The sequence below is a fragment of the Homo sapiens genome, chromosome 12, assembly GCF_000001405.40.
Source record: "Homo sapiens chromosome 12, GRCh38.p14 Primary Assembly".
Lineage (NCBI taxonomy): Eukaryota > Metazoa > Chordata > Mammalia > Primates > Hominidae > Homo > Homo sapiens.
The window spans coordinates 51,693,620-51,720,823 of record NC_000012.12 but is presented as its reverse complement, the minus strand read 5'-3'; the positions used below and the strand labels follow the sequence as shown (position 1 = coordinate 51,720,823).

Sequence of the window (27,204 nt, the reverse complement as noted above, 5' to 3'; positions counted from 1 at the left end):
AAAGTGCTGGGATTACAGGCATAAGCCACCGCTCCTGGCCAAAAAGACAGAATTTAAAACGTGCCTGTATCATTTGCCATTCTCTCCAAGTACATGTCCTGGTCAACTACTACTCCAACAGTGGCCTTCAAGCCTTTTAGTTCAGTTGAAAATTATATATGCCCCCTCCCACCCCATTTTATTTATGTATTTATTTACTTTTCCTTTTCTTTTATTATTATTATACTTTAAGTTCTAGGGTACATGTGCATAATGTGCAGGTTTGTTACATATGTATACATGTGCCATGTTGGTGTGCTGCACCCATTAACTCATCATTTACATTAGTTATTTCTCCTAATGCTCTCCCTCCCCCCTCCCCCAACCCTATGTCAGGCCCCAGTATGTGTTGTTCCCCAACCTGTGTCCAAGTGTTCTCATTGTTCAATTTCCACCTATCAGTGAGAATATGCAGTATTTGGTTTTCTGTCCTTGTGATAGTTTGCTCAGAATGATGGTTTCCAGCCTCATCCATGTCCCTACAAAGGACGTGAACTCATCCTTTTTATGGCTGCATAGTATTCCATCCACCCCATTTTAAACATATTTTTTTCATCAAAAGTTTACATAGTTGTAAAGTATATAATTCTCAAACAGCTGTAAGTTATATAATATCCGGCATTGATGTTTTTAAATAAAACTCTTGTTTACCGTAAAGTTTGTGGTAAAGAAATTTACTTAAAGAATTCTTTTTTTTTTTTTTTTTTTTGAGACGGAGTCTCGCTCTGTCGCCCAGGCTGGAGTGCAGTGGCGCGATCTCGGCTCACTGCAAGCTCCGCCTGCCAGGTTCACGCCATTCTCCTGCCTCAGCCTCCCGAGTAGCTGGGACTACAGGCGCCCGCTACCACGCCCGGCTAATTTTTTGTATTTTTAGTAGAGACGGGGTTTCACCGTGTTAGCCAGGATGGTCTCGATCTCCTGACCTCGTGATCCGCCCGCCTCGGCCTCCCAAAGTGCTGGGATTACAGGCGTGAGCCACCGCGCCCGGCCAAGAATTCTTTAGCATAAATTTTTTCTTATTTATTCTTCTCCTTCAATTTCATGCTTCCTTTCCATATTCCCTAGGGAATTTTATTTGAATGTACACTTTTATGTTTTAATGTATTTTACTGCTCACCCCTGAATTTACTTCTCTATGTTGCCCAGGCTGATCTCGAACTCCTGGGTTCAAGTGATCCTCCTGCCTTGGCCTCCCAAAGTGCTGGGATTACAGGAGGGAGGCACCACGCCCAGCCTGTTAACACTTTTGATGTTAACACTGGAAGGGCCATGGGGCTCCTCTTTAACATTTCTGCCCTTATCTTTTTGTTGGCTATGATTCCAACAAATTATACAAAAAATTATAAATAAACTGTACTTACTATTAAAAATTTTCTATGAGCATGAGTCTTTAAGACATTTAAATAATTCTCCTGGATTGAGTTTTTATTAATATTCTTATGAATACAATTGATCAAGCTATAGAAATATATTACACATTTTATAGGTAATAGACTTAAGAAAGAAAATTGTATTAAAATGCATTTCTTAATAAGATGGATGAGATTTTCTTTTCAATTGGTGTTTAAATATTTGTTGGTAGTATTACTTATTATTAGAATGAGACATGGCTCAACATCAATCCTCCCCACCTTTCTAATAATCAATTTTATGTGCTAAAACCTTATTCACATAAATATTATCTTGGAATGGAAGAACTTTGTTATAGTAATGTCACTCAATTCTTTGGACTCCTTCCAAGTTATATACCAAAAATATATAGCAAACTATCAGCAAAATTTATTGTAATAATCTATCGGCTGGCAATTAAGTCTTTTTCCAATTTTATTGAAAGCAAAGAACTGAAAACTCAATTTGCCAAAAGATTTGTTACCTACACACATTCCCTTTCTTGATTTCTGAGGACATCAAAAAGCTGTATTATTTACTAATAATTATGTGGGTTATTCTCACATGAGTTACTCTTGTACTTAAAGGAAGCTCGTTTAACCCAATAGATGGTTGAAATGATCAAAATATTATTAATGTCTTTCCATCATTGCCAACATTTATTTTTAATATGATTTTATCTTATCACATGATTTAAATATATTTTCATCAAAATCTACCTTAAAGTCACAGATTTAGCTCATTTCTGAAAATGTTCAATCACATGATCTAATGAGCAGTCAGTCCTCAATGTCAGAGCAATTGGCTAAATTAGATTTATTTTCATTTGAAAAAGCATGATCCCATTTTTCACTGTTAATAAATGTATTAGTATGTATTGCAAGGGCAACAATCTCCTGAAATTAAAACATCTCAACATCCCCAGTTATAATTCTGTTTCACTCATAACAGAAATATGTAAAACAGAAATATGCCTCAAACCCCTGGGCTCAAGGCATCCTCCTGCCTCAGCCTTCCAAGTAGCTAGGACTACAGGCATGTGCCACCATGCCTGGCTAATTAAAAAAAAATTTTTTTTAATAGAGATGGGGTCTGTATGTTGCCCAGGCTGATCTTGAACTCCTGGGTTCAAGTGATCCTCCTGCCTTGGTCTCCCAAAGTCCTGGGATTACAGGAGTGAGGCACTGCGCTCAGCCTGTTAATACTTTTGATGTTAACACTGGAAGGGCTATGGGGCTCCTCTTTAACATTTCTGCCCTTATCTTTTTGTTGGCTACAATTCCGTTTCTGGTTCTATACTTTAGATCCTGTCTCTTCTTGTAATGTACAAAGCCCCTGTCCCCAGATTGGTATATTTTCTTTGGATAATTCTAGTTGCATATTATTCCATGCTCTCACCTGTATCTTTCACGTGTTATGTAGGCTTTTCCTGCTTTGGCTTTAAGCAACCCACGAACTTCTAAGACAATAAATGAATTTGATCACTGGGGACCACATCAAGAAAAGCACTAATCATAGATAATTATATATAAATGTCATTGTTAGATACATGCCATATGCTATATATAGGTCTCTAGAAAACAGGATGACCCTGACTTATTTTGTTCTTCTGCCTCATCCTTGTACCAGAGAGAAGGAGCTACATTGGTTAGATTCCAGAATGTTGACTGAGCCTCATTTATGAGTAGATGTTGTCACTGTGTGTTAAAAGGACACATACGCTGTGTGGTAAAGGAGCACATAACAGAGGAAGCCCTTGCACGTCCTTCTTCCATGTTGCTGGATTGGTAAGCTTACTATTCTTCTTACATGTATGTTTGGGCACCCCCTTTGAATCACTGATTAATTCCCCTGAACCAGCTCTGCTCGGTGTGATTCACAGGCAGCTAGTACATGACTTGTTATTGGTCTGCAATGAGACAAGTAAGGAAACTGAGAGGGGCATTTAGAAACTTTTGTAACAATTAGACACAGTCATAACATCTAAGAATGTGATGATTTTTCTAGAAATTGATTGTTACTGTATTTTACAATAGTATCAGTTCATGAAGAATTGGGAAAAATAGAAATGAGTCCTTTACCACAGGTAACTTGAGAAACACTGCTCTAAACAATGTGGCTGGCCAGAAGATGGTGTCTTAAGATGTACTTGGGATTTTGTTTTAATCAGATCACGGTAAGGTGACAGACACAGAGGCAACTGCCTTTGAAAGAAGAGTTCGTTACTTCCGTTCCCAAGAGGAGTGGGCTTGCCATGCCATGGAGGGCCATACGGGGAAATATAAGTGTTGGTCAGGAAGCAGAAGGAGTGAGGGGGAAAGTTTAGCCTGAGCCTGTGGTTTCCTCAGGAAGGAAGGGATGAGGCAGGATAGGTAAGTCTGAGCAAGTTTAGGATTGGGGAGTTTGAATAATTTTGGAAGGCTCTGGCCTACAGAGGTGGTAACTACTTGTCTGGTATCTGGCTATGGGGTGATTTAGGGAAGGGAAATATTGGCTTAGTGAGTGAGTTAGATAAAGGAGGTAGTTGGGAATGTGGGCTTTGGACTGGTTGATCTGTACATGAAAAACAAGTTTGAAGGCAAGCGTAACATAGAACACTGAGGTTCAGCGTACAAGCCCAGGTGTTAATAACCGGTGCCTTGGGCACATATATCTCTCTTGAGGGCGTCACTGCGGAGAAATATGGCCAGGAAAACACAGGACTCAGGTACTCATGGCCCCTTTGCTAAATGCCACAATCACCTTTAACACTATCACACCGTCATAAAAATGGCATTCAAGACCCTCCCAGCTTTGACTCTAATTTACTTATTCTACTTCATCTTTCACTGTTTTCTCATACACCCTACCATGCAGCCACCCTACCGCAGGTCTTTATTTCCTCTGTTTCCAGTGCACGCTCCATTTTCAGCTGGGGAAATCCTCTCAGTTCTCCATGATCCAGCCCTTCTGCTTCTTCCTCTACTAACTTCCTTAATCTTTCCATAGCACCAAACCCCCTTTCAGAATATTTATGCTCTACTTTATTTTTTATTGTTTTCTTCAAGACAGGGTCTCACTCTGTTGCCTGGGCTGGAGTGCAATAGTGCAATCACTCACTGCAGCCTCAACCTCCTGGGCTCAAGTGATCCTCTCACCTCAGCCTCCCAAGTAGCTGGAACTACAGGTGTGTGCCACACCACACAGTATGTGCCATACCACGCCTGGCTAATTTTTATATTTTTTGTAGATACAGGGTTTCGCCATGTTGCCCAGGCTGGTCTCAAATTCCTGGGCTAAAGCAATCCTCCCGCCTTGGCCTCCCAAAGTGCTGAGATTATAGGCGTGAGTCACTGTATCCAGCCTACGCTCTACTTTTTACAACAGTTCTTTATATACATGTTCTACCTCTCATTTTTAACCAACTACAAACTCCTTAAGGGCACATTGACTGATTCATCCTTATATCTCCCAGAGTGCTTTGCACATAGTAACTACAATGTTTAACTTAATTAACATGCACTTAGATTAGGTACTGCAGCTTAGCCACCCATTTTAGGGTTGTTCCACACCTGCACGGGGTCACTGCTTCACTTCTCACAGCAAGCTAAACTACACTGAATTCATAATTTTGCCTTAGGTCAATGCTGGGTGCTGATACTACCTGGTACATTAGGCCTTCACATTAGGAAAGAGGTTTTATGCATTTTACAATAAAATTTAATTTTATATAATTTTTTTTTTTTTTTTTTTTTTTTTGAGACAGAGACTTGCTCTGTCACCCAGGCTGAAGTGCAGTGGTGCAATCTTGGCTTGCTGAAACTTCCGCCTCCCAGGTTCAAGCTATTCTCCTGCCTCAGCCTCAAGTGATCTGCCCACCTCAGCCTCCCAAAGTGCCAGGATTACAGGCGTGAGCCACTGTGCCTGGCCAAAATTTAATTTTATTTAACCAAATACCTATTGTGTGCTAAGTGGTGTGGATACAGTGGTGAACGAGACATATGACATGGTCCCTGCCCTCTTGAAACTTGGAGGCCAGGAGGAAATATCATATACTACATGAGATCTAATACATCAGACTATTCTTAACCTTAAGGATAGTGATAAGGATGATAAGACAGTGATGAAGGTTATGACCAATTCAGTGAACCTATGAACACTTAAAAATCAGGATCCTAAGATAATACATAATATGAGGAAAAACTGTTCTATTATTTTCTAATTCCTTGTTTCACTCTTTGCAAAAGAGTAGTCTGCAATGGACAAATGTGAAAGGGGTAAAGGTGACTTGCTCCATTTCTCCTTGTACCCAGGATCCAATCCTGATTTAGGGCATTCCCTAAGGAGCTACATCCTGAGGGCTGAAACCCCAACCCTTCCTCAATCTCAATTTTCCTAGACTAGAGGTTTTCAGTGATGACTCAGGATCCATGGCTCTATTAAATCCTGGGATCCTGTGTAGTTTATGAGATGAGTAGGCCTTACTCCCTCTTTTCAAAATCTTCCTGTCAACCAACCAGGAGCTTTTAGTCCTTTTCAGGCAGTCACAGTTAAACTATGAATTCCAACTTAGGTTTAGATGTTTGCTCGGGAGAATGGCTCTGGGATGTTCTGGATTTGAGAGTGTAACTTTTGCATTCCACAGAAAAATTATCTCTAGGGATCTCAGGGGATACACGTAAATTGTCTGTCAAGATGAGGCTTACATGACTGGGATGTTTGGAATGTGATGAAGGAGTGATTTTACATGTTCTATTTCCATGCCATATTTCACTTTTTCTTTCTAGTATAACACTGGTTCTTAAAGTGTGGTCTGGAGACCCCCGGAGGTCCCTGAGACCTTTTAAGGAAGGCTCATGAGGTCAAAATTCTTTCCTAATAATACTGAGATGATATGTGCTTTTATCACTCATCTTCTCATAAGCACACAGTGACACTGTGAGCCTGACAGTTTCATAATATTTAAATAGTTTTATGATGAGATTGGTGGTAATAATAAATATAGTTTTAAAATCTTGTGTGTATTTGGAAGATTTGCATAAACTCAGGAAATTTCTCAAATGATCAATGCATGATGCTAGAAATCATTCACAGGTTAAAGATCTATGGCACAAAATGGAGCAAGGGATTTTACTATAACAGAGTACAAAGTTACTGTTATAGTTTCCACGTCACAACTAACTGTTTAAATAATTGTCACTGTTAAGTTTTGGAACAGCATCAAGGAGGAACATTCACAGTTATCTGAAAAGGTTATTAAAATATTCCTCCCTTTTCCACTACATATCTGTATGAAACTTGATTTTCTTCAAATACCTTAACCAAAGAAAATCATACTGCAACAAACTGAATGCATGCATAAGCCAGTATGATATTTCAACTGTTTTCTATTACATTACAGATTAAAGAGATTTGCAGAAATGTAATACAAAAAAAAAAACCCTTTTTTTTGGTTTTGGAAAACAGTTCATTTTTCTTAAAAATATATAATTTGTGTTAATCATGTAATGGGTTTATCATTACTATATTTTTAAAATTAGTAAATATTTTTTAATTTTCTTAATTATAATTTCTAATATGAGAAATTAAAAGCACATTTTAGAAAGGTTTTTAGGTCCTCAAAATTTTTTAAGAAGATAAAGGGGTCCTAAGACCAGAAAGTTTGAAAACTGCTGCAATAGAGCAATTAAAATACTTTGAAAAAATAGGCTCAACTTAATATTTATAAACTGCCCTGAGCCTTAAAAATATAGAGAAATAGGTCGGAGATGAGTGAGCAGGAGATGTCTCAAGAAGAACTCAGGCTCAAAATGGAGGTAAAACCACCGCCTGGTCGCCCCCAGTCCGACTCCAGCCGTCGACATTGCCACCGGCAGGAAGAGGGCCATGACCCAAAGGAACCAGAGCAGTTGAGAAAACTGTTTATTGGTAGTCTGAACTTTGAAACTACAGATGATAGTTTAAGAGGACATTTTGAGAAATGGGGCACACTCACAGATTGTGTGGTAATGAGAGACCCCCAAACAAAATGGTCCAGGGGCTTTGGTTTTGTGACTTATTCTTGTGTTGAAGAGGTGGATGCAGCAATGTGTGCTTGACCACACAAGGTTGATGGGCATGTAGTGGAACCAAAGAGAGCTGTTTCTAGAGAGGATTCTGTGAAGCCTGGTGCCCATCTAACAGTGAAGAAAATTTTTGTTGGTGGTATTACAGAAGATACAAAGGAATATAATTTGAGAGACTACTTTGAAAAGTATGGCAAGATTGAAACCATAGAAGTTATGCAAGAGAGGCAGAGTGGAAAAAAGAGAGGATCTGCTTTTGTAACTTTTGATGATCATGATACAGTTGATAAAATTGTTGTTCAGAAATACCACACTATTAATGGGCATAATTGTGAAGTGAAAAAGGCCCTTTCTAAACAAGAGATGCAGTCCGCTGGATCACGGACAGGTCGTGGAGGTGGATCTGGCAATTTTATGGGTTGCGGAGGAAGCTTTGGAGGTGGTGGAGGTAATTTTGGCCGTGGTGGAAACTTTGGTGGAAGAGGAGGCTATGGTGGTGGAGGTGGTGGCAGCAGAGGTAGTTATGGAGGAGGTGATGGTGGATATAATGGATTTGGAAGTGACGGTGGCAACTATGCTGGTGGTCCTGGTTATAGTAGTAGAGGGGGCTATGGTGGTGGTGGACCAGGATATGGAAACCAAGGTGGTGTGGTGGATATGGTAGCGGTGGTGGAGGATATGATGGTTACAATGAAGGAGGAAATTTTGGCGGTGGTAACTATGGTGGTGGTGGGAACTATAATGATTTTAGAAATTATAGTGGACAACAGCAATCAAATTATGGACCCATGAAAGGGGGAAGTTTTGGTGGAAGAAGCTCGGGCAGTCCCTATGGTGGTGGTTATGCATCTAGTGGTGGAAGTGGTGGATATAGTAGCAGAAGGTTCTAAAAACAGCAGAAAAGGGCTACAGTTCTCAGCAGGAGAGAGCGCGAGGAGCTGTCAGGAAAGCTGCAGGTTACTTTGAGACAGTCGTCCCAAATGCATTAGAGGAACTGTAAAAATCTGCCACAGAAGGAAGGATGATCCATAGTCAGAAAAGTTACTGCAGCTTAAACAGGAAACCCTTCTTGTTCAGGACTACCATAGCCACAGTTTGCAGGAAGTGCAGCTATTGATTAATGCAATGTAGTGTCAATTAGATGTACATTCCTGAGGTTTTTTATCTGTTGTAGCCTTGTCTTTTTCTTTTTCTTTTCATTACATCAGGTATATTGCCCTGTAAATTGTGGTAGTGGTACCAGGAATTAAAAATTAAGGAATTTTTAACTTTTCAATATTTATGTAGTTCAGTTTTTCTACATTTTAGTACAGAAACTTTAACAAAATGCAGTTTTGAAGGTGTTTCCTTGTGAGTTAACAAGTAAAGATCATTGTTAATTACTATTTTGTATGAATTTTGCTAAAGTTAACTGTAAAGAAACACCTGCTGACTTGCAGTTTAAGGGGAATCTATTCTCCCCATTTCCAAACCACTATATGAATGGGTACTGACGTGGAGAGAATAGATAATTTGTGTGTTTGCAATGTGTGTTTTAGATAAATAGGATTGAATATTTAAATTAGCATTTGTGAATTTAATAGCATTACGATTACCTTCAAATGAAAAAAATCTCAAAATTTCTAAAAAAAAAAAAAAGAACTCAGAAGCTATGGAAATAAAAGAAACTGACACATAACTGAACTATGTTGTGAGAAAACTGAAGCCACATTCATTGTTAAACTAACAGAAGAGATGATCATGTACGTGTGCAGGAATAAAGAAGGGGTGGTTAGGAGCACAGGCTCTGGAGTTGGATGAACCTGGGTTCAAATCTTGGCTTGAACACTTACTAGTTATATAACCTTCTATAACTAGTTATAGTTATAAGTGATTCTTTCTAGGCCTCGATTTCCTCAGTCACTCTTCCAGAGAAACTGCAGGAAAGTCCTGGGACAAAGAATACTACTATCCCTTGTAGCATCTTAAGCTACTCTTGGCAGTCAGCCTTGGCCTCTAGGAATTTACTATTTTTTTTGAATGGAGAGATTAGACTAAGTGAATATTTTCATGCACAGCAGGGCATCTCAAAAACCTGGTTTTATTTTTTGAGTTAAGGAGCAATCAGTGTACCTTTGTACTAAAGCCTATAGAATAATCAGAGACCATTCAATAGCAAAGCGTTAACAGCGCTAAGGTATTCATAGCTCAGTGAGTCTCTCAAGACAAGGGTAAAATTACAACAAAGCTACTATCATACTTTCCCCAAAAGAGGCTGAACTAGAAGAAAGGAGAGGTGAAGGTGAGATAGAGATGGCTTCAGGCTATAAAGAAGTCTCTCAGAAAGGGTTAAATCAAATTTCTAAAAGTCTTGCATTCATTTGTCTAACAATATCTAGCCATGTGCTAAGAAGCAGACCTTGACTTTAACACTTTATTTAGAGAGAAGAGGATATGAGCATAAATAAATATGCACACAGAGTATATGTAGAGTACTTTCTATATGTAGAGTAAAAAGCAACAAATAAAGAGGTACATATAAAACATAACAGAAAGATAAAATGAAGATTTCCAACTAGAAAACAGGAGAGTCAGGGAAGGTTTCTTGAAAGGAAGATATTGAGAATAACTATGATGCAGAAATTCAAAGACAGAAAAATAGGGCATTTTATTTAATTTTAATTTTTTGGTTTGTTTTTGTTCTTGTTTTTTTGGAGACAGGGTCTTGTTCTGTTGCCCAAGCAGGAGTGTAGTGGTAAGATCACAGCTCACTGCAGCTTCAACCTCCCATGCTCAAGCCATCTTCCCGCCTCAGACTCCGGAGTAGCTGGGACTACAGGCATGGGCCACCACGCCTGGCCAATTTTTTGGTAGAGACAGGGGTCTCTCTATGTTGCCCAGGGTGGTCTTGAACTCCTGGCCTCAAATGATTCTTTCACCTTGGCCTCCCAAAGTGCTGGGATTACAGGTGTGAGCCACTGTGCTGGCCAACAGGACATTTTAGAGAGGGTGTTTCTTGAGCAAACCACAGAGGGTAGAAAACAAACATCATATATGAGAAATATCTAGTAGCTCATTCTGGTTCAGGTATAGGGTGCTTGATGGGGCACAGAGACTGGAGAATGAACACATAGGTTGTAACCGTACTAAGGGGATGGGGAATGCTATGAATTCCAGGGTAAGGAGTTGGGACTTAATTAGTAAATAGAATGAATCTGATTAGGGGAATTCCCTCTCCCATTCTTCTTAAAAACTATTCTAAACTGTCAATATTTTCTTTAAACCTCCAAACACAACCTCTCATTCCCTTCAATAAGATGTTTAATTCCCTACATTATCAAAAAATTAATTCATTTTTTGTAGAGACAGAGGTCTCACTATGTTGCCCAGGCTGATCTCAAACTCCTTGATTTTTAATTCCCAACATTATCAAAACACTAAACTGTCAGGGGTTATCTTCCTCAACTTCCTACTCCTTTTCTACAAATTTATCCACCTCATCCTTCCCTGTTTTCTTAAGGTTTCAGGGAACAAGGGTCCCTTTTCTGTTAAAAACCACATCTATTTCGGTATCTTCCAAGATTGTGCTCTACTTCTATCTATTCTATTTCATTTTCTAACACGTCTCCCTTTTCTGTTTTTTTTTCTTCCACAAAGTATAAACATGCTTATTTCCACCCACACTCTTTAAAGAAGCTGGGATGAGAAGTCTATACTCATTGTCTCCACTCCCCACTCAACATGGCATCCTTCCTTACTCTGGACTAAAACATGTCTTTAAAGTCCTCAATGACTTTATATTGCCAAATCCGATGGACACTTTCAATTCTGAGCTCACTAAGCATCTCTGTTAAATTTCAATCCATTGATCATGGCCCTGCCTTCTCCAACATCGCTACTCTCCTGACTTCACTGAACTCTTGGCCCTCTCAGCTTCTCTAACACTGTTTATCCGTTTTCTTTCCTGAACTCCATCTCTATGCCAGTGAACAGCAATGGTCATGCCTTTGGCTCACTATTCTTCCAACTGACACATTCTCTTTGAGTAATCTCCACAAGTCTCATGGTTTCAATCACCACCTCTCAGCTCAGGACCTCTTCCCTGAGCTATCATTTGCCTATCCTTGTCTAAAAAAATCTGTACTTGGTTATCCAACAAATAATTCAAACTTTGGATGTCTAAACTGGAATATGCTTCCCTTCTAAACCTAGACCATCCCTTTTTTCTTATTGTTCCCTCACCAACACACACATACACTACCTAATTCCTGTCTATCCTTTAAGCTTCAGTTCAGAAATTTACCTTTCCCAGAAAATCTTTACTGAATCTCCATGTTGGGATAGATCTGTGCTTTTCTAACACCCCCAGCATATCTCAATTATGGAATAACACATGCTACTACATAATTTTTTAGTGTATTCAGCTGTCTCACTGTACTGTAAGCTCTCTAGGGTAGGGATGATGTTTTAATCACCTTTTAAGCCCTAGGACCTAGTACAATCCTTGATATGTAGTAGGTACTCCATAAATGCCTACTACATGAATGATGAGAACTACATTTTAGGACGTAATCTGTTGACAGTATATAAAATACAAAGGAGAAGGAGAAAGACTACAGAAAACAAAACTGCAGTGGACAAACGCAGTAGAACAAAATAATACAATTGTAAAGCCAAAACTAAGATAAGGTTAAGGAATGGAAAGAAAGGGATGGACATGAGGGATTTTGCTCATCCCCTGAAATGAATAAGACTGGCAAAAGACTGAACCGGAAAGTGAGAGATGCAAGTGGGAAAATGAATCATCTCTGGGAAAAAAGAAAAGACACTGGATATACTGCCATAAACAGTAACTATAATCTATTCTATACCTACCAACTTTCCAGCATTTCTTTAAAATGGGAAATTAAATGGCCTAAGAATTAGATTTTGGTGGTGTTCTCTGAAATTCAAAAATACCTATTTATGTGATGACATCTATAGTAACAGAATGCTCAACAATTACCCTAAGTCTTCTCTTCTCTTTTTTGCTTAGTTTCCTTATTTATCAAAGTTGGGAAAAACTGGAGGCTTTCAATCTACCATAGGCTAACTTATCAGTGTGATACTACATATCCAGAATAATTAATCAGTAGAACTTGCCATGCTCAAATAAGATGTCCTGTTTCATGACTCCTATTATTATTATCCCCTATAATTAAATGCAATTCTTAAACAGAGATGTTTGAGCTAAATTCTGATGCTTAGAGGAGAAAAGCTCTCCCTGATGTTTTAGAACATGAAGATTGCTGGTGTGACATATACTTTACTGCCAAGCAAGTCTGCCAAAGGTGATCACATAGTCTAGGGTTGGCTTTTACATCAGAGAAGGGAGGGCAGGATTAGAATGGAGAATGTTCCAAATGTGCTGGTAACACTTCCTCCCAGAGGAGAACAATATGGAGCATAGTGAGGTAGAAATGAGGATGCAGGGATGGGCCTGGAAAACATAGGGCCAAAGGGGAAAACAAAAATCAAGTGGGATTAGAAAAACCAGATGTTTTTAGGCTTATTGAGCCAATGCAAAGAGTTTACCTGTTGTGGGAATGCACGTTAGTACAATGAGTTTGGAGAAGAGTATGGAGGCTCCTCAAAAAACTAAAAATAGAATTACCATATAATCCAATGTGATAGTTAATACTGCATGTCAACTTGGTTGGACTGAAGGATGCAAAATATTGATCCTGGGTGTGTTTGTGAGGTGTGTTGCCAAAGGAGATTAACAGTCAAGTCAGTGGGATGGGAAAGGCAGACCCACCCTTAATGTGGTGGGCACCATTTAATCGGCTGTCAGTGAAAATAAAGCGGGCAGAAAAACGTAAAAAGGCGAGACTGGCCTAGCCTCCCAGCCTACATCTTTCCCCCATGCTGGATGCTTCCTGCCCTCGAACATCCAACTCCAAGTTCTTCAGTTTTGGGACTCAGACTCACTCTCCTTGCTCCTGAAGTTTGCAAACAGCCTACTGTGGGACCTTGTGATTGTGTAAGTTAATACTTAATAAACTCCCCTTTATATATTTATATACTAATAGATATATAAATATATCCTATTAGTTCTATACCTTTAGAGAACCCTGAATAATACACCAGCAATTTCATTATGGGGTATATAACTAAAAGAAAGTCAGTCAATATATTAAATAGATATTTGCACTCCCATGTTTATTGTAGTACTATTTACAATAGACAAAATATGAAATCAACCTAAGTGCCCATCAACAAATAAATGGATAAAGAAAATGCAGTATATTTACATTATGGAATACTATTCAGCCATAAAAAGAATGAAATCCTATCATTTGCAGCAACATAGATGGAACCAGAGGTTATTATGTTCACTGAAATAAGCCAAGCACAGAAAGACAAATGTAGCATGTTCTCACTCATACGTGGGAGCTAAAAAAGTGGATCTCTTGAAGGTAGAGAGTAGACTGGTGGTTACTAGAGGCCAGGAAGAAGAGGGGATAGAGGGGATGAAAGAGGAAAAAGAAGAATATAATTGTGCTTAACACTGAACGGTACACTTAAAATGGTAAAGATGGTATAATATACATATACACATTTTACCTTAATAAAAAATACATTTTTGAAAAAGGTATAGAAAAAAGAAGAGTTTACCTGATTCATGATGGAAAATTTCCTCCCTATTCTGTTGTCTGGCAGCCGAAAGGCCTTCCTTCTCATGCCATCTTCTGACTCTGACTTAAACACCTTCTCGGGATCCCCTTTCTCCTCTCCTTCAGAGAGTTCCTTTTGCTTCCTCTTCTTTCTCCTGTTACGTCTTTCCTTTGCACTCTTTGAGCTGAGTTTAGAGATTTCAGAAGAGCTCCGAGGGGAGCCCCCTCCTTCTTCACCTTCTTCCTCTATGGCATCTTCTGAGACAGTTCCTGCTGAAGTGGCCATCGCAGCAGCCTAGGAAAGAAGCCACAGCAGGGAAGCCAGACCAGGGCAATTAACTGGAGCCACCCAAAGCCAACCAGTTAGTACAGAACATTTCCCTACTGAAGGGAAAGGAGGAAAAAAGGAGGCAGGAAACCTAGACTGTTAGAGGGTTTCTGTGTATTCTGGCACACAGCCCTAAGTGAACAGAGCAGAACCCAGTGGTGAGAACTTTGGGAGTTATTCTCTTGAGCATTTCAGACAAGAACTTGACTGCTGCCTTGGTACCAGAGGATCCCTTCTGAGCAAGTCTGGAAATGAATGCTAAGTAACATTATATATTATGGGTCCTAAAAATGTATAAATACATGTACATTTAGATAAGGATGAGAAAGTTAAGTGTTAAGGTGATGAGATCACAAATGTCTTTCAAGTTTTACTTTAATATTTTGCCTGTATCTTCTTTTTAATTAGAAATAATACTTTTTATGACCACAGGAATCTTAACATTTCTCCCAAGAAAAAGAATATGCTTATGTGAAACACTATATAAACTGCCCTGGTCACTTTTTTCTTCCCAGTCATCATGGCGGTTGCACACTGAACAGTTGAGCAATTCAACAAAAGATGATATGAACAAACAATTTGGCTGTTAAGACAAATGGAATAATTGGAGCAACCATCTGCAGTTGTTACTTGGGTTATTTTCATCAGACCAATGGCCTCTATTTGAAAATATGCCTAGAAAAGATCAACTGCAGTGAAAATCAGATGGGGTCTTAGTCACCATGATCTGGCAGGAAGGTCTATTGCAAAGAATTCATCACCAACCTGTGCCTCTTCCTGTTGCTTCTTAAGTTGCTCCAACATTGCTTTAAATTCAGCCTCTTTTTGTTCTGCCTCCTCCAGTGTTGCCTGATTCTGTTCTTCATAAGCCATGGCCACCACAGCCAAGATCAAGTTCACCAGATAGAAAGAACCCACAAAGATGACCAAGACGAAGAAGATCATGTATGTTTTCCCGGCTGCTCGTAAAGTCTGCAAAGACAAAGGCCATTTTCTGAGTCACTTGTACCAAATGAACCGGGCTGAAAACAGCTAATGGGCCAAGTTCCTCTGTAAGGGCACTATTTGCATTTTGTACAGGACTGTTTCCTTGTGCAGTACTCCTTCCTATTGTGGGCACTTGGTACTCCCAATGGTTGAATGGTTTCACTTATCCTCAACTCATATTAAATGGCAGTAGTTATCTCCCAACCATTGTGACAAAAAAATCCCCTCTCATTTCTAAATATTCCCCATACACTTCTTTCATAAAAAAAGTTTGATTTTGGGCTAAGACAAGTATAAAGAAAAGAATACAAGACTGCAGTTTATTTATCTACAGATCCTCAAACAGCATTAACAGACAAATTATGTCTCTGAAATCAGGTCCAAGTTGAAGGAAATCCCATCTTTTTATTTTATTTATTTTTTTTTTGAGATGAAGTGTCACACTATCACCTAGGCTGGAGTGTGATGGCACGATCTTGGCTCACTGCAACCTCTGCCTCCCAGGTTCAAGCGATTCTCCTGCCTCAGCCTCCCGAGTAGCTGGGATTACAGGTGCCCACCACCATGCCCAGCTAATTTTTTTGTATTTTTAGTAGAGACGGGGTTTCACTATGTTGGCCAGGCTGGTCTTGAGCTCCTGACCTCATGATCCACCCGCCTCGGCCTCCCAAAGTGCTGGGATTACAGGCGTGAGCCACCACGCCCGGACCCATTTTTTTTTTTTTTTTTTTGTAGGTGGAGTCTTGCTCTGTCACCCAGGCTGGAGTGCAGTGCCATCATCTCAGCTCACTGCAACCTCCACCTCCCAGGTTAAAGCAATTCTCCCACCTCAGCCTCCCGAGTAGCTGGGATTACAGGCATGTGCCACCATGCCCAGCTAATTTTTGTATTTTTAGTAGAGATGTGGTTTCACCAGGTTTGCCAGGTTGGTCTTGAACTCCTGGCCTCAAGTGATCCACCTGCCTCGGCCTCCCAAAGCGCTGGGATTACAGGCATGAGCCACTGTGTCCGGCCAGGAAATCCCCATCTTGAGTGACACCCTTCCTTATTCTTTTGCAATAGGATGAGTTTTAAAAGGATATGACAATATGACATAAAGGATAGTGGGGGAGGTTAAAAAAAGGCAGAAGGAAACTAGGTTTTAGGTTATGTGCATGCAACCCACTATTACACAGTTTTCATCTTTATTCTGTTAACCACAAAATGGGCCAGGCACGGTGGCTCATGCCTGTAATCCCAGCACTTTGGGAGGCCAAGACAGGTGGATCACCTGAGGTCAAGAGTTCAAGACGAGCCTGGCCAACCAACATGGTGAAACCCCGTCTCTATTAAAAATACAAAAATTAGCCAGGTGCGTGCGTCATGCCTGTAATCCCAGCTACTCGGGAGGCTGAGGCAGGAGAATTGTTTGGAGGCTGCAGTGAACAGAGATTGCGCCTCTGCACTCCAGCCTGGGCGACAGAGCGAGACTCTGTCTCAAAAAAGAAAAAAAAAAAGAAACAGCATCAATCACAAATATTTCATGAGAAACATTCAACCTGAGGGAACTCTAGGCTGTGCAACAGAAAGGTAAGAATTAACTCAGATATTTGAACTAGAAACTTCCCTTAAAGAGGGTCCTTCATGCCTGAGGGGACGTGTTTTTCATTTTCAAAGTAACTGGTATCACCAAATGACACAAAGAGAAAACAATGGACTGTCATAAAATTTCTAAGCTGTAAGACACTTAGCAATCACTTACACTAACTTCATTACAACCAGCAAAGTTAAATGACTTGTCCAGAGTCACCAGTGTAGCCCAACAGAATGTTACTGACCTTATTTTTATCTGTACAACCTGCTTGAACAAATCCAAATGTGTTACAAATCTCAAAAATGTTGATATACTCCAAGGTCCTTATGGAAATTCCATCTATATAGTGCCTTGCACAAAGAGGTGTTTAATTTTTCTTAAACAGAAGCCCTAATGGTGGCTCACGCCTGTAATTCCAGCACTTTGGGAGGCCACAGTGGGAGGATCACTTGAGGCCAGAAGTTGCAAGACCAGCCTGGGCAACAGAGTGAAATCCCAACTTTCCAAAAAGTAGAAATATTATAGCCAGGTGTGGTGGTACATGCCTGTAGTACCTACCTCAAAAACAAAACAAAACAAAACAAAACAAAAAAAACAAACCCTAACCCCAAATATCCAAAAGGAGATATGCTGCAGAGGATGAACAATAGGAAGTAGATAGAGATAGCAGATTCTCAGGCCAGACAAGAGGCCGTCAAGGCTGTAAGAGTCTACAGCTATACATGACTGAGCATTCGAGAAACAGGGATGAGAACTGAGAGAATTCACTTAATATCAAAAACCAGCTGACTGTGGGAAACACAACAGTTAGATCTTGTATAATGTCTTCACTAAATGTCTCTCACACAGAAGGTCCCCAACCCCATATAAGCTCATGCAAACTCTATGGCCAAAGGAAAAGAGGTATTACTCACCAATTGATACAAGTTTTCCCAATAGTCCTGGGTCATAAGGCGAAATAATGCCAAGAAGGCCCAGCTAAAAGTGTCAAAACTTGTGTAACCATAGTTGGGGTTCCTTCCTGCTTTCATACACTGGTATCCCTCTGGGCATTGCCTAAAGAAAGAAAGGGAAGTTCAGGACTTTTCAACATAATTCCACCCAGCCATGACCTTGGAGATAATAAATAACATAATTCTATTTACTCCATGACCTTGGAGATAATAAATAACCATTGATAGAGCCAGGCCAACAAATTAGAAGAAAAAGAAGAAGGAAATAAGCAGCTAACCAACTTCTGGGGACAGCCTAGGGTCAGAATCACCTGGCATGGTCTTTAAAAATGCAGATTCCTGCATCCTTACCCAAACTAGGAATTAAAAGTTCTGGATATGGGATCTATGAATCTGCATTTTTAAGAGGTATGCCAGGTGATTCTTATGCATGCCAAAGTGTGAGAAGTACTGTTCTAGATTCATATCAATGTGCAATTCAATCAAATTTAACTCAGCTATTATCCCAAATGACAAACGGCTAGAAGTTCCTCTTTTTTTTTTTTTTTTTTTTTGATACAGAGTCTAGCTCTGTTGCCCAGGCTAGAGTGCCATGGCATGATCTCGGGTCACTGCAACCTCTGCCTTCTGGGTTCAAGCGATTCTCCTGCCTCAGCCTCCCGAGTAGCTGGGATTACAGGCACCTGCCACCACGTCTGGCTAATTTTTGTATTTTTAGTAGAGACGGGGTTTCACTGTGTTGGCCTGGCTGGTCTCGAACTCCTGACCTCGGGATCTGCCTGCCCCAGCCTCCCAAAGTGCTGGGATTACAAGCGTGAGCCACCGCGCCTGGCCAGAAGTTCCTCTTAATCATTTGTTTTCTTTACACTCACTGTGACAACCTAAGTCAAGGGGGGATTTCAGTTACCTCAGTTACACCATTTCTCCTGCTTTTAGATTCATCTCATATTTCTTTCAATGTAATCTCTAGTAGTCTAATACAGAAATTAAATGGATTTCTAGACATTGTGGTCATGTTAAAACACCAGTTCTTAGAGGACCAATATACTCTGCAAAATGACACTACCACCCTACATTTATAAAGCCCTCTGTTTACAAAGCATTTTCATGTAATGTAAGTGGATCCTTACAGTAACCCTGTGAGCAAGAGAGAGCATGGCTTATTAAATAAATCCATTTTATGGATGAAAAAAACCAAGGCTCAGGTAAGTTAAATGGCTTGCCAAAGGTCTTAGAGCAGGAAGTATCAGGATCAGGACTCAAATACTACGTTGCTACTCTTTTTCCTCCTCTATGCTGTCAGGTCAAGCATATTTTGGGTCATCCTTGGATCCATAACCATCACTAAGATGGTATCTTTGCTCTCTATTGTACTATAGGATGAGAGGAGTCCCCAAGAGGCAGGTAAGCTATCTGGTGTTATTGATTTCATCCTTGGATTCTTTCATTTTGGCTTGAGACTACAAGCACAGGCACTTACTAGTGAAATGTCAACTTTAGATAGACAAATGTGAAACAAAGAAAATCTATGCCAACCGATAGGTCAGATGCAATTGTAAGGTCTACTACTTGAGCACAAAGAAAAGTAAACATATTGCCTATTTTGACCCTACTAATAACAGGTACATTATTTTAAGGAAAGAGAATAAAACTAGGTGAGCTACTTACCCAGCATCAGAACTGTTCCCACAGAGTAAAGGTTCCAGCATGCCAGGAACTGTGTAGAAATTTGCTAGAAAAGTTTGAAGAGGCAGGAAATGAACAGGCAGATTTAAGTGAATGAGAGAATAAGGTTACACTGTTCCTAACTAGCCCCAGCAGAAAGTTATTGACTTTAGCTCATAAATCTTTTCCAACAGCTGTGACAGCTGATAAGAATTCTTTCCTATTAATGATTTTCTTATATATATTTACAAATTAAAAGTGCTATCCCAAAGTTCTTGATGCAATATAGTTTTCACAGACACCCAACTTCCATTCATACTTCAAATCTATATGCCAGATTCTGGTACTTGAATCAAAGGGACCTAAAAGTAAGTTTTCTGAGTTGTACACCCCTTTATACCACTCTATTCTTCTATCCTTACAACGTGTCTTTATCAAAGATATTTTAGAGCTCATTGGTCACTAGATACTAGGTCCTATTTTAAATTACAAGGCATGTTTTCCTTTCCAGCATATGTCCCCGAAATCTCCTTTGCAACACTTTCTTATGGTTACTAAACTGACTTTATTTTCTCAGGAATGACTAATAGTGACATCTCTAACTTTTTTCATGAGTCTAAAGAAGTATCACTACATCAAATTTTCCTTTGGTTCCTCAAATAAAATGATTAAAACTACTCAACTGTAATAGGATTGAATAGTGCCTTAAAGATCACCTGATTCCCTAGACTAGATCGACTGCAATAGTCTTAGTAGTATTAAGAAAATTTGAGTTCCATAGATACATTCTGGACTAAATGTGTAAATATCCCAAGTAACTCAGCTAGGGAAAAAAATAATTTTTATCAAGCTTCTAAGCCTGAATTTCAAAGCAAAAGTTTAGGGGTACATGCGAAAAAGGGAGAGAGAGGGCTGATGTTTGAGAGCTTCTGAACACAATCCTACGTCGAGGAAAGGAATAATTTTACAAGGCTAGTTCTAGTAGCACTGCCATTCCTTTCCAGCTCCAACTACCTCTTTTTTTTTTTGTTTTTTTTTTTGAGATGGAGTTTTGTTCTTGTTGCCCACCCAGGCTGGAGTACAATGGCGTGATCTTGGCTCACCGCAACCTCCGCCTCCCGGGTTCAAGCAATTCTCCTGCCTCAGCCTCCCGAGTAGCTGGGATTACAGGCATGTGCCACCACGCCTGGCTAATTTTGTATTTTTAGTAGAGAGAGGGTTTCTCCATGTTGGTCAGGCTGGTCTCAAACTCCCAATCTCAGGTGATCCACCTGCCTCAGCCTCCCAAAGTGCTAGGATTATAGGAGTGAGCCACCGCGCCCGGCCTCCAACTACTTTTTTAAGCCCTGTGGTAGCTTCTGACCATGTGAACTAGGAATAGACTTTTCCTATTCCTCTTGCAGAGAAGAGGCCACCTACTTTTATTGTTGATATACTCTTCCCAATCAAAGCCTTTGGTGCCATTTTCAAGATAGCTCTCGTTGAAGTTTATGGGCCACACAACACACTTGTTTCGAAGGTTCCCCATGAACAGCTGCAGTCCGATCAAGGCAAAAACACTCAGGCAGAACACTGTCAGGATCATCACATCTGACAGTTTCTTCACAGACTGAATCAGGGCACCCACAATTGTCTTCAGGCCTGAGGAGACAGAATCCCCGGAATCAGAGGCACCTCAAAGCCCTCCCCACCTCCCCAAGCCTCCCTCTTAGCCACTGGCTGCTACTCCTCCCCACAGCACCACTCTTGAAATATGGCCACTTTATATTTATGCCATGAGAATAATAATAGGTCAGCAAAATTATCAATATTCCAGAAGTATCCATTTTTAAGTGAATACATCTTAAAAAGCAAAAGAAAGATTCTTCTGCCAACATGTGGCTCCTTTCTTCCTGGGAACACTTTCCCATCTCTGACTACTTTTTGGTTCCCCATATGAGCCCAGCTCTTACTTGCCATAGGGCCTTCATACCTGCTGTTCCCTCTGCCTGGAATGCTCCCTGCTATATTATCTTGTCCTCTGTGCCTAAATCCTACTCATCCTTCAAGGCCCAGTTTAAACGTCAATTCTTCCAGAAAGCCTTCTCTGACTTTGCAACTCTTCTTCCTCTCCATTGTTACTAGTGTTTCAGTAGCATCTTATACTTTCTTCTGTAGCATTTGTCATGGTTATAATTGATTTTTTATATCTACCTTGTTCACAGCTGTATCTATAGTGCCTAGCCCACAGTAGGTATTTAGTAAATATTTGTCAAAGAAACAAATGGAAAAATCAGGAATTGAGGAGGCCTCCAGGTTAGAAAGAAAACCACTGGGAAGTTTAAAAGCCAATAATAAATGAGAAGGTACAATAATATTTTCCCAAGGATTCTGGAAATGCCAAGGTATTGAAAAGGTTATTATTAATCCAGTATTTATACTTTGTCTTTTTCCATTTAAAAATATACTTCTTCTGTATCACATACATTCCCTGCTTTCTACAATGATCTTTTTTCTGTCCTAAATTAAAAACAAAAACATTAAAAACATTTTAATTTAAAGTTTAAATGTAAGACACTGGCTCAAATGTAGACTGAAGGTGTATTTCTTAATTGCACATGGAGAGATCAGTGACAGAAGAGACAGAAAAATATGGTTGTAGGTTCATGCTTTTTGGGTCCAAATGAGTCTTTACGTGCCCAGATATCAGGCTATCCATAGGATACGGCCAACAAAGCACTGAGCACTCTTGGTAGCCAATGCACCAGGATGAGCAAGAGGCAGGCGCTAAGCCTTGACACACAGGCCTCAGGAAGAATCTCATCCCTGCTCACTTCTGAAGGCAAGACCACTGAACTGAAATTCAAGGGAATCCTAATCCTGGCTTTGAAGGGTGTGCCTGGGTAGATAATCACTAATCTTAACTAAGTTATGCCACTTACTTGTCTGACTTACGCAATACGCCTTCTAACCTCTTAGAATCTGTTTTTTCATCTTTAAAGTAGGGAAAATTATAGTTGAGTAGCATAGGGCTGCTGTGAGGATTAAGTGTGGTTCATATAAAACACCTGACAAAGCAGCTGGGAGCAGTAGGTCACCCCTGTAATCCCAGCACTTTGGGAGGCCAAGAAAGGTGGATCACCTGAGGTCGGGAGTTCAAGACCAGCCTGGCCAACACGGTGAAACCCCATCTCTACTAAAAATACAAAAATTAGCCAGGTGTGGTGGCATACGCCTGTAATCCCAGCTACTGTGGGAGGCTAAGGTGGGAGAACCACTTGAACCCGGTGCGGGGGTGGAGGTTCCAGTGAGCCAAGATTGCGCCACTGCACTCCAGCCTGGTCAACAGAGCGAGACTCCGTCTCAAAAACAAAACAACAACAACAAAAAAACAAAAACAAAAAAAACTTCACAAAGCATTTAGTACATAGCAAATGAGTCAAATGTTGACCATTATTGTCTGAACCTCAGTCTACTCATCTATAAAAATGGATTTACAATACCAACCTCATTGGGTTGTTGTTAGGTTTAAATAGATAATTTATATAAAATACCTAGTAAAGTTCCTGGCACATAGCTGGCACTCAACACTTGTTATCACTATTTTACATATGGTACCCTCCTCAAAGGGACATGATTGGGAAAATGGCACTGCTCAGGGCTAACCTCATATAATGGTGATCTAATGGGTGGTATGGACATGATTCTTCTTTTGCTGTATTTTGCAAGTAATCACCTAGACTTTTCAAAGTCGAGCCCAATAGAATTTTCTGAGTCCAATAATAGAAATGGATGCTCTGCCTAGCACAAGACCTGGCACAAAGGCAGCCACTTAATACATTTTTATTGGGAGAGTAAATGAATGAGAAAGTTCTCTCCTCTTACACAAATATCTTAAAAGGGATCTAAGAGGAATTAAAGAAAAAAGAACCAAGAGGTAGACTGTAGAGATAAAGGATGCAGAGTCCTGTGCTTTCTTAGAGTGAGCCTTCCATGGAGACTGTGGCCACAAAGGGATTATGAAGCGCTTGCTTGGGCTCCAGGAAACAAAGCATTTATAATCTGATTATTTTTCTCCTCACAGGGCTGTGCAGAAAGAGCATCAGACAGGGAATCAGAAAGCTGGTATTCTGGCCCTGGCTCAATCACTACTTATGACCTATTGTGTTTCTTTTTCATTTTTTTTTTTTTTTGAGTCGGATTCTCGCTCTGTCGTCCAGGCTGGAGTGCAATGGCACGATCTTGGCTCACTGCAACCTCCGTCTTCTGGGTTCAAGCGATTCTCCTGCCTCAGCCTCTAGAGTAACTGGGATTACAGGTGCCCGCCACCATGCCCTGGCTAAATTTTGTATTTTTTTTTTTTAGCAGAGATGGGGTTTCACTATATTGGCCAGGCTGGTCTCGAACCCCTGACCTCAGGTCGTCCGCCCACCTTGGCCTCCCAAAGTGCTGGGATTACAGGTGTGAGCCACTGCACCCGGCCTGACCTATTGTGTTTCAAATCAAATTTAAGGTTACTTCTCATAGTCTCATTTTCTCATCTACAGAACATGGATAAACACACCACTACACAGCAGTGGGCAGTAGTGGAGAAGCTGAAGAATCTTCTCCAAAAGTCTTTCAAAATAAGGCAGAGATGTTTCTTTGATTGAGATTAAGTAATTGAAATTTCAAGCTATCTTTTAAACCTAAGGCCCTGGGAAATCGTATCATAATCACACAGCTAGGTAAGAAGGTACTGGTGGAATAAAGTAGAAGGCAGCCATCAAGAAATAAAAATTGTTCCAGTGTAATGGAATTTATTTTCATTTAGTTGCTAAGGAACAGAGAAGTCCTCATTATATTTTGACTGGGTTGGAGTGGGCCTATATTGAATCAATAATTCAATCCTAGGCTTCTAAAATTACGCAAGTTTACTGTTTTCAAAGTCATAGACTGATTTAAAAAATAATACTTGAATGGGTCACTAAAAATGGTTGTACAGTTTCTTTTTCCTGGACTTTTTTATGAAGCCTATACAGCCATCTCTCCAGACGATTCAGACAATCACCTTTCCAAACACCAGATGACTGTTAAAGGACTTTACCATTGCTATTTTACTGAATTGAGAAATGAGCTGTAAGCTGTCTTTTGTATTAGTAACAAGAGTATAATACTACAAAATAGCCAAACCACTGAGTTTGTAAGTAAATAATTTGAAAAGCATACAATTTTAGCATGAGTAGAATCTGATTTTCCTGGGCTGGGAGCTCTTTGACAGTTCCAGGTCCACATAAGTGGAAATTCTAGGCCATGAGCTCCAACTATCCCCTGTTCCTTAAGAATGAGCTCTCAGCAGCCATGTCTGTACAAGGTCACCTTCTCTCAGTAGTTGCAGATGTCTGGGTGGACATCTGACCTAAATCCAGATCCTTTCCTACAGGAATTTGGAACAGGATAAGAGACAGTTGAGTAATATTTTCATGTGGTGAGAATGGTAATAAATAAATTTGGAAGCTAAGTGGTAGCCATATTCTGTCATTATATTAAGATGTGACTGAGCAGTAAAGGCAGTTAGTATGCTGAGAGAGAGAAATGGACACGTGGAGAGAAGAGAGATGGAGACAAAGTACTTCCTTGTACCTGTGGCTTTCTGGCTCTGCATTCTGGTTTCTACTGGCTTCCCAGAAGCACAAGTGCATTCCAGCCCTTGGGTTCCCTGAATTATTCCTGTGTCCTGCTACTTGCAACCAGAGATGACCCCCACTAATCTGATATGTCAAGCCTGCATGGAATTCACTTTCCTGGAGATGGACCCAAATGCTCACAATCAGCTGGTTTAACATCTCTTCTCCATAAACCAGATGTTATTGCTAAAGAAATGTGTAAACATGAGTCAAGGAAGCTAAAAAGACACTTTTTCAAGCCTCAGCTTTGAAGTCTGGGGCTTAGATCATCTCATTGGTGAGTTAGCTTTTAAGATGTTTAAAGTAGAAACTTAATTGGAAATGGTATTCAGCTGCTTATACTTCACAGAGGGTCAGATAAATCTTAATTAAGCAAGGATAATCACTAAATAACACTAACTACAGCAATCTAAAAGGTTTACTCTCCAAGATTCCCATCCAGATCACCAAGAGAAAATGAGAAGGCAAAGGAAAAAGAAGAAGAAAGGTGATGCGGCTTCATGTTTTCAGGTAAAGGAAGGCACATGATCACACAGCAATATTAAATAATAAACAGTCACTGAACTATACATTGGTCTCAGCCAAGACTCTTCTTCCTTGCATTAGGATAAATTGCAAATGGCCATATTTGCAGACATCAATGCCAATTTATGGAGATGATGCCATCAATTCATTTCCTAAGCTCAAGCTCTACAGTCTTGCCAGCTGTGACTGCCTGAAAGCGCTCCCTCGTACCATCAACACCTGTCAATAAAGGCAAAAAGTTGTTAGTAGAATTCCTGACCTGACACAAGCCAGAATGTAGAATGCCATCATTCTGGCTATACAGAGACACTGTCTTTTTATTCTATTGGCTCACAACATCACATTCCAGAACAAGCAAGATACTGACTGAAAACCAATTATCCAAAACAGCAGAATGCTTCTTCAAAAGACTCCTACACAACAGAGTGTGCAACAGAAGCCACGTGGGGGCAAATTGGACAGTGAGAACTCTTGGAAAAGGCTAACATTAGCTCGCTTTGGTACGTGTCTGAGTAGAAACAGTTAATACATTTACCACAGGCCAAGAAAAGACAGCTGGATTCAATGTAGAGAACGGTCAGTGACAAGAGGGAAAGCTGGATATTTAAGGAATTTTAAGAAGCAGGTGAAGAATTCTACTCTATGTCCAAAGGTACTTCTGAATCTCCTGTCACGTTTCACAATGCCCAGGAATCCTGTGAACAAATGAACAATGCCTGCCTATGTGCTATGTCCAGAAAAATCAGTCAAGCATATTGGGGTCAAAGTCTTCCACCACTGGATGGCCAGATTATAAATAAAGTTAATTTGCCAGGCACGGTGGCTCACACTTGTAATCTCAGCACTTTGGGAGGCCAAGGTGGGTGGATCACCTGAGGTCAGGAGTTCAAGACCAGCCTGGCCAACATGGTGAAACCCCATCTCTACTAAAAATACAAAAATTAGCTGGGCGTTGTGGCGCATGCTTGTAATCCTAGCTACTCAGGAGGCTGAGGCAGGAGAATCGCTTGAACCCAGGAGGTGGCGGTTGCAGTGAGCTGAGATCAGGCCGTTGCACTCCAGCCTGCGTGACAACAGCGAAACTCCGTCTCAAAAAATATATATGTATAAATAAAATAAACAAATAAAGCTAATTCATATTCCCTAGTTTGTAGCTCAGGTTGAGAAATCTAAGTGGTTTGAAGCAATGTGAGCTAATTCCCCTACAAAGTTAATATTGAAACAGGCCTCAGTAGCAATAACAAGCAGTTCTCAACCCAGGGAAAGAACAACTGCCCTGTTCCCAGAGTTAGGCTTGGGTTCAGACAAAGCATAGGGGTAAAGTAGTGTGCTGTGTTGACTTTTCCTGCTGCAACTGCAATCCTCATGATAATATTTATTTATTTATTCATTAAGAGACAAGATCGCACTATGCTGCCCAG

General features: G+C 40.2%; 1 protein-coding gene and 1 pseudogene across 4 annotated transcripts in view; one reads left to right on the top strand and one right to left on the bottom strand.

The window, feature by feature from the left end:
* SCN8A (sodium voltage-gated channel alpha subunit 8) overlaps positions 1-27,204 on the bottom strand; it is a 221,632-nt gene that overhangs the window by 92,041 nt on the left and 102,387 nt on the right. For all 4 annotated transcript variants that reach the window (NM_014191.4, NM_001177984.3, NM_001330260.2 and 1 more), the window contains exons 7-11: positions 21,033-21,254; positions 19,617-19,680; positions 17,910-18,051; positions 15,201-15,407; positions 14,109-14,402 (exon numbers count right to left, since the gene is read on the bottom strand). In NM_014191.4, the coding sequence (NP_055006.1) occupies positions 14,109-14,402; positions 15,201-15,407; positions 17,910-18,051; positions 19,617-19,680; positions 21,033-21,254 (929 nt within the window). The remainder of the gene's footprint in view (positions 1-14,108; positions 14,403-15,200; positions 15,408-17,909; positions 18,052-19,616; positions 19,681-21,032; positions 21,255-27,204) is intronic.
* HNRNPA3P10 (heterogeneous nuclear ribonucleoprotein A3 pseudogene 10) lies at positions 7,168-8,337 on the top strand (annotated as a pseudogene).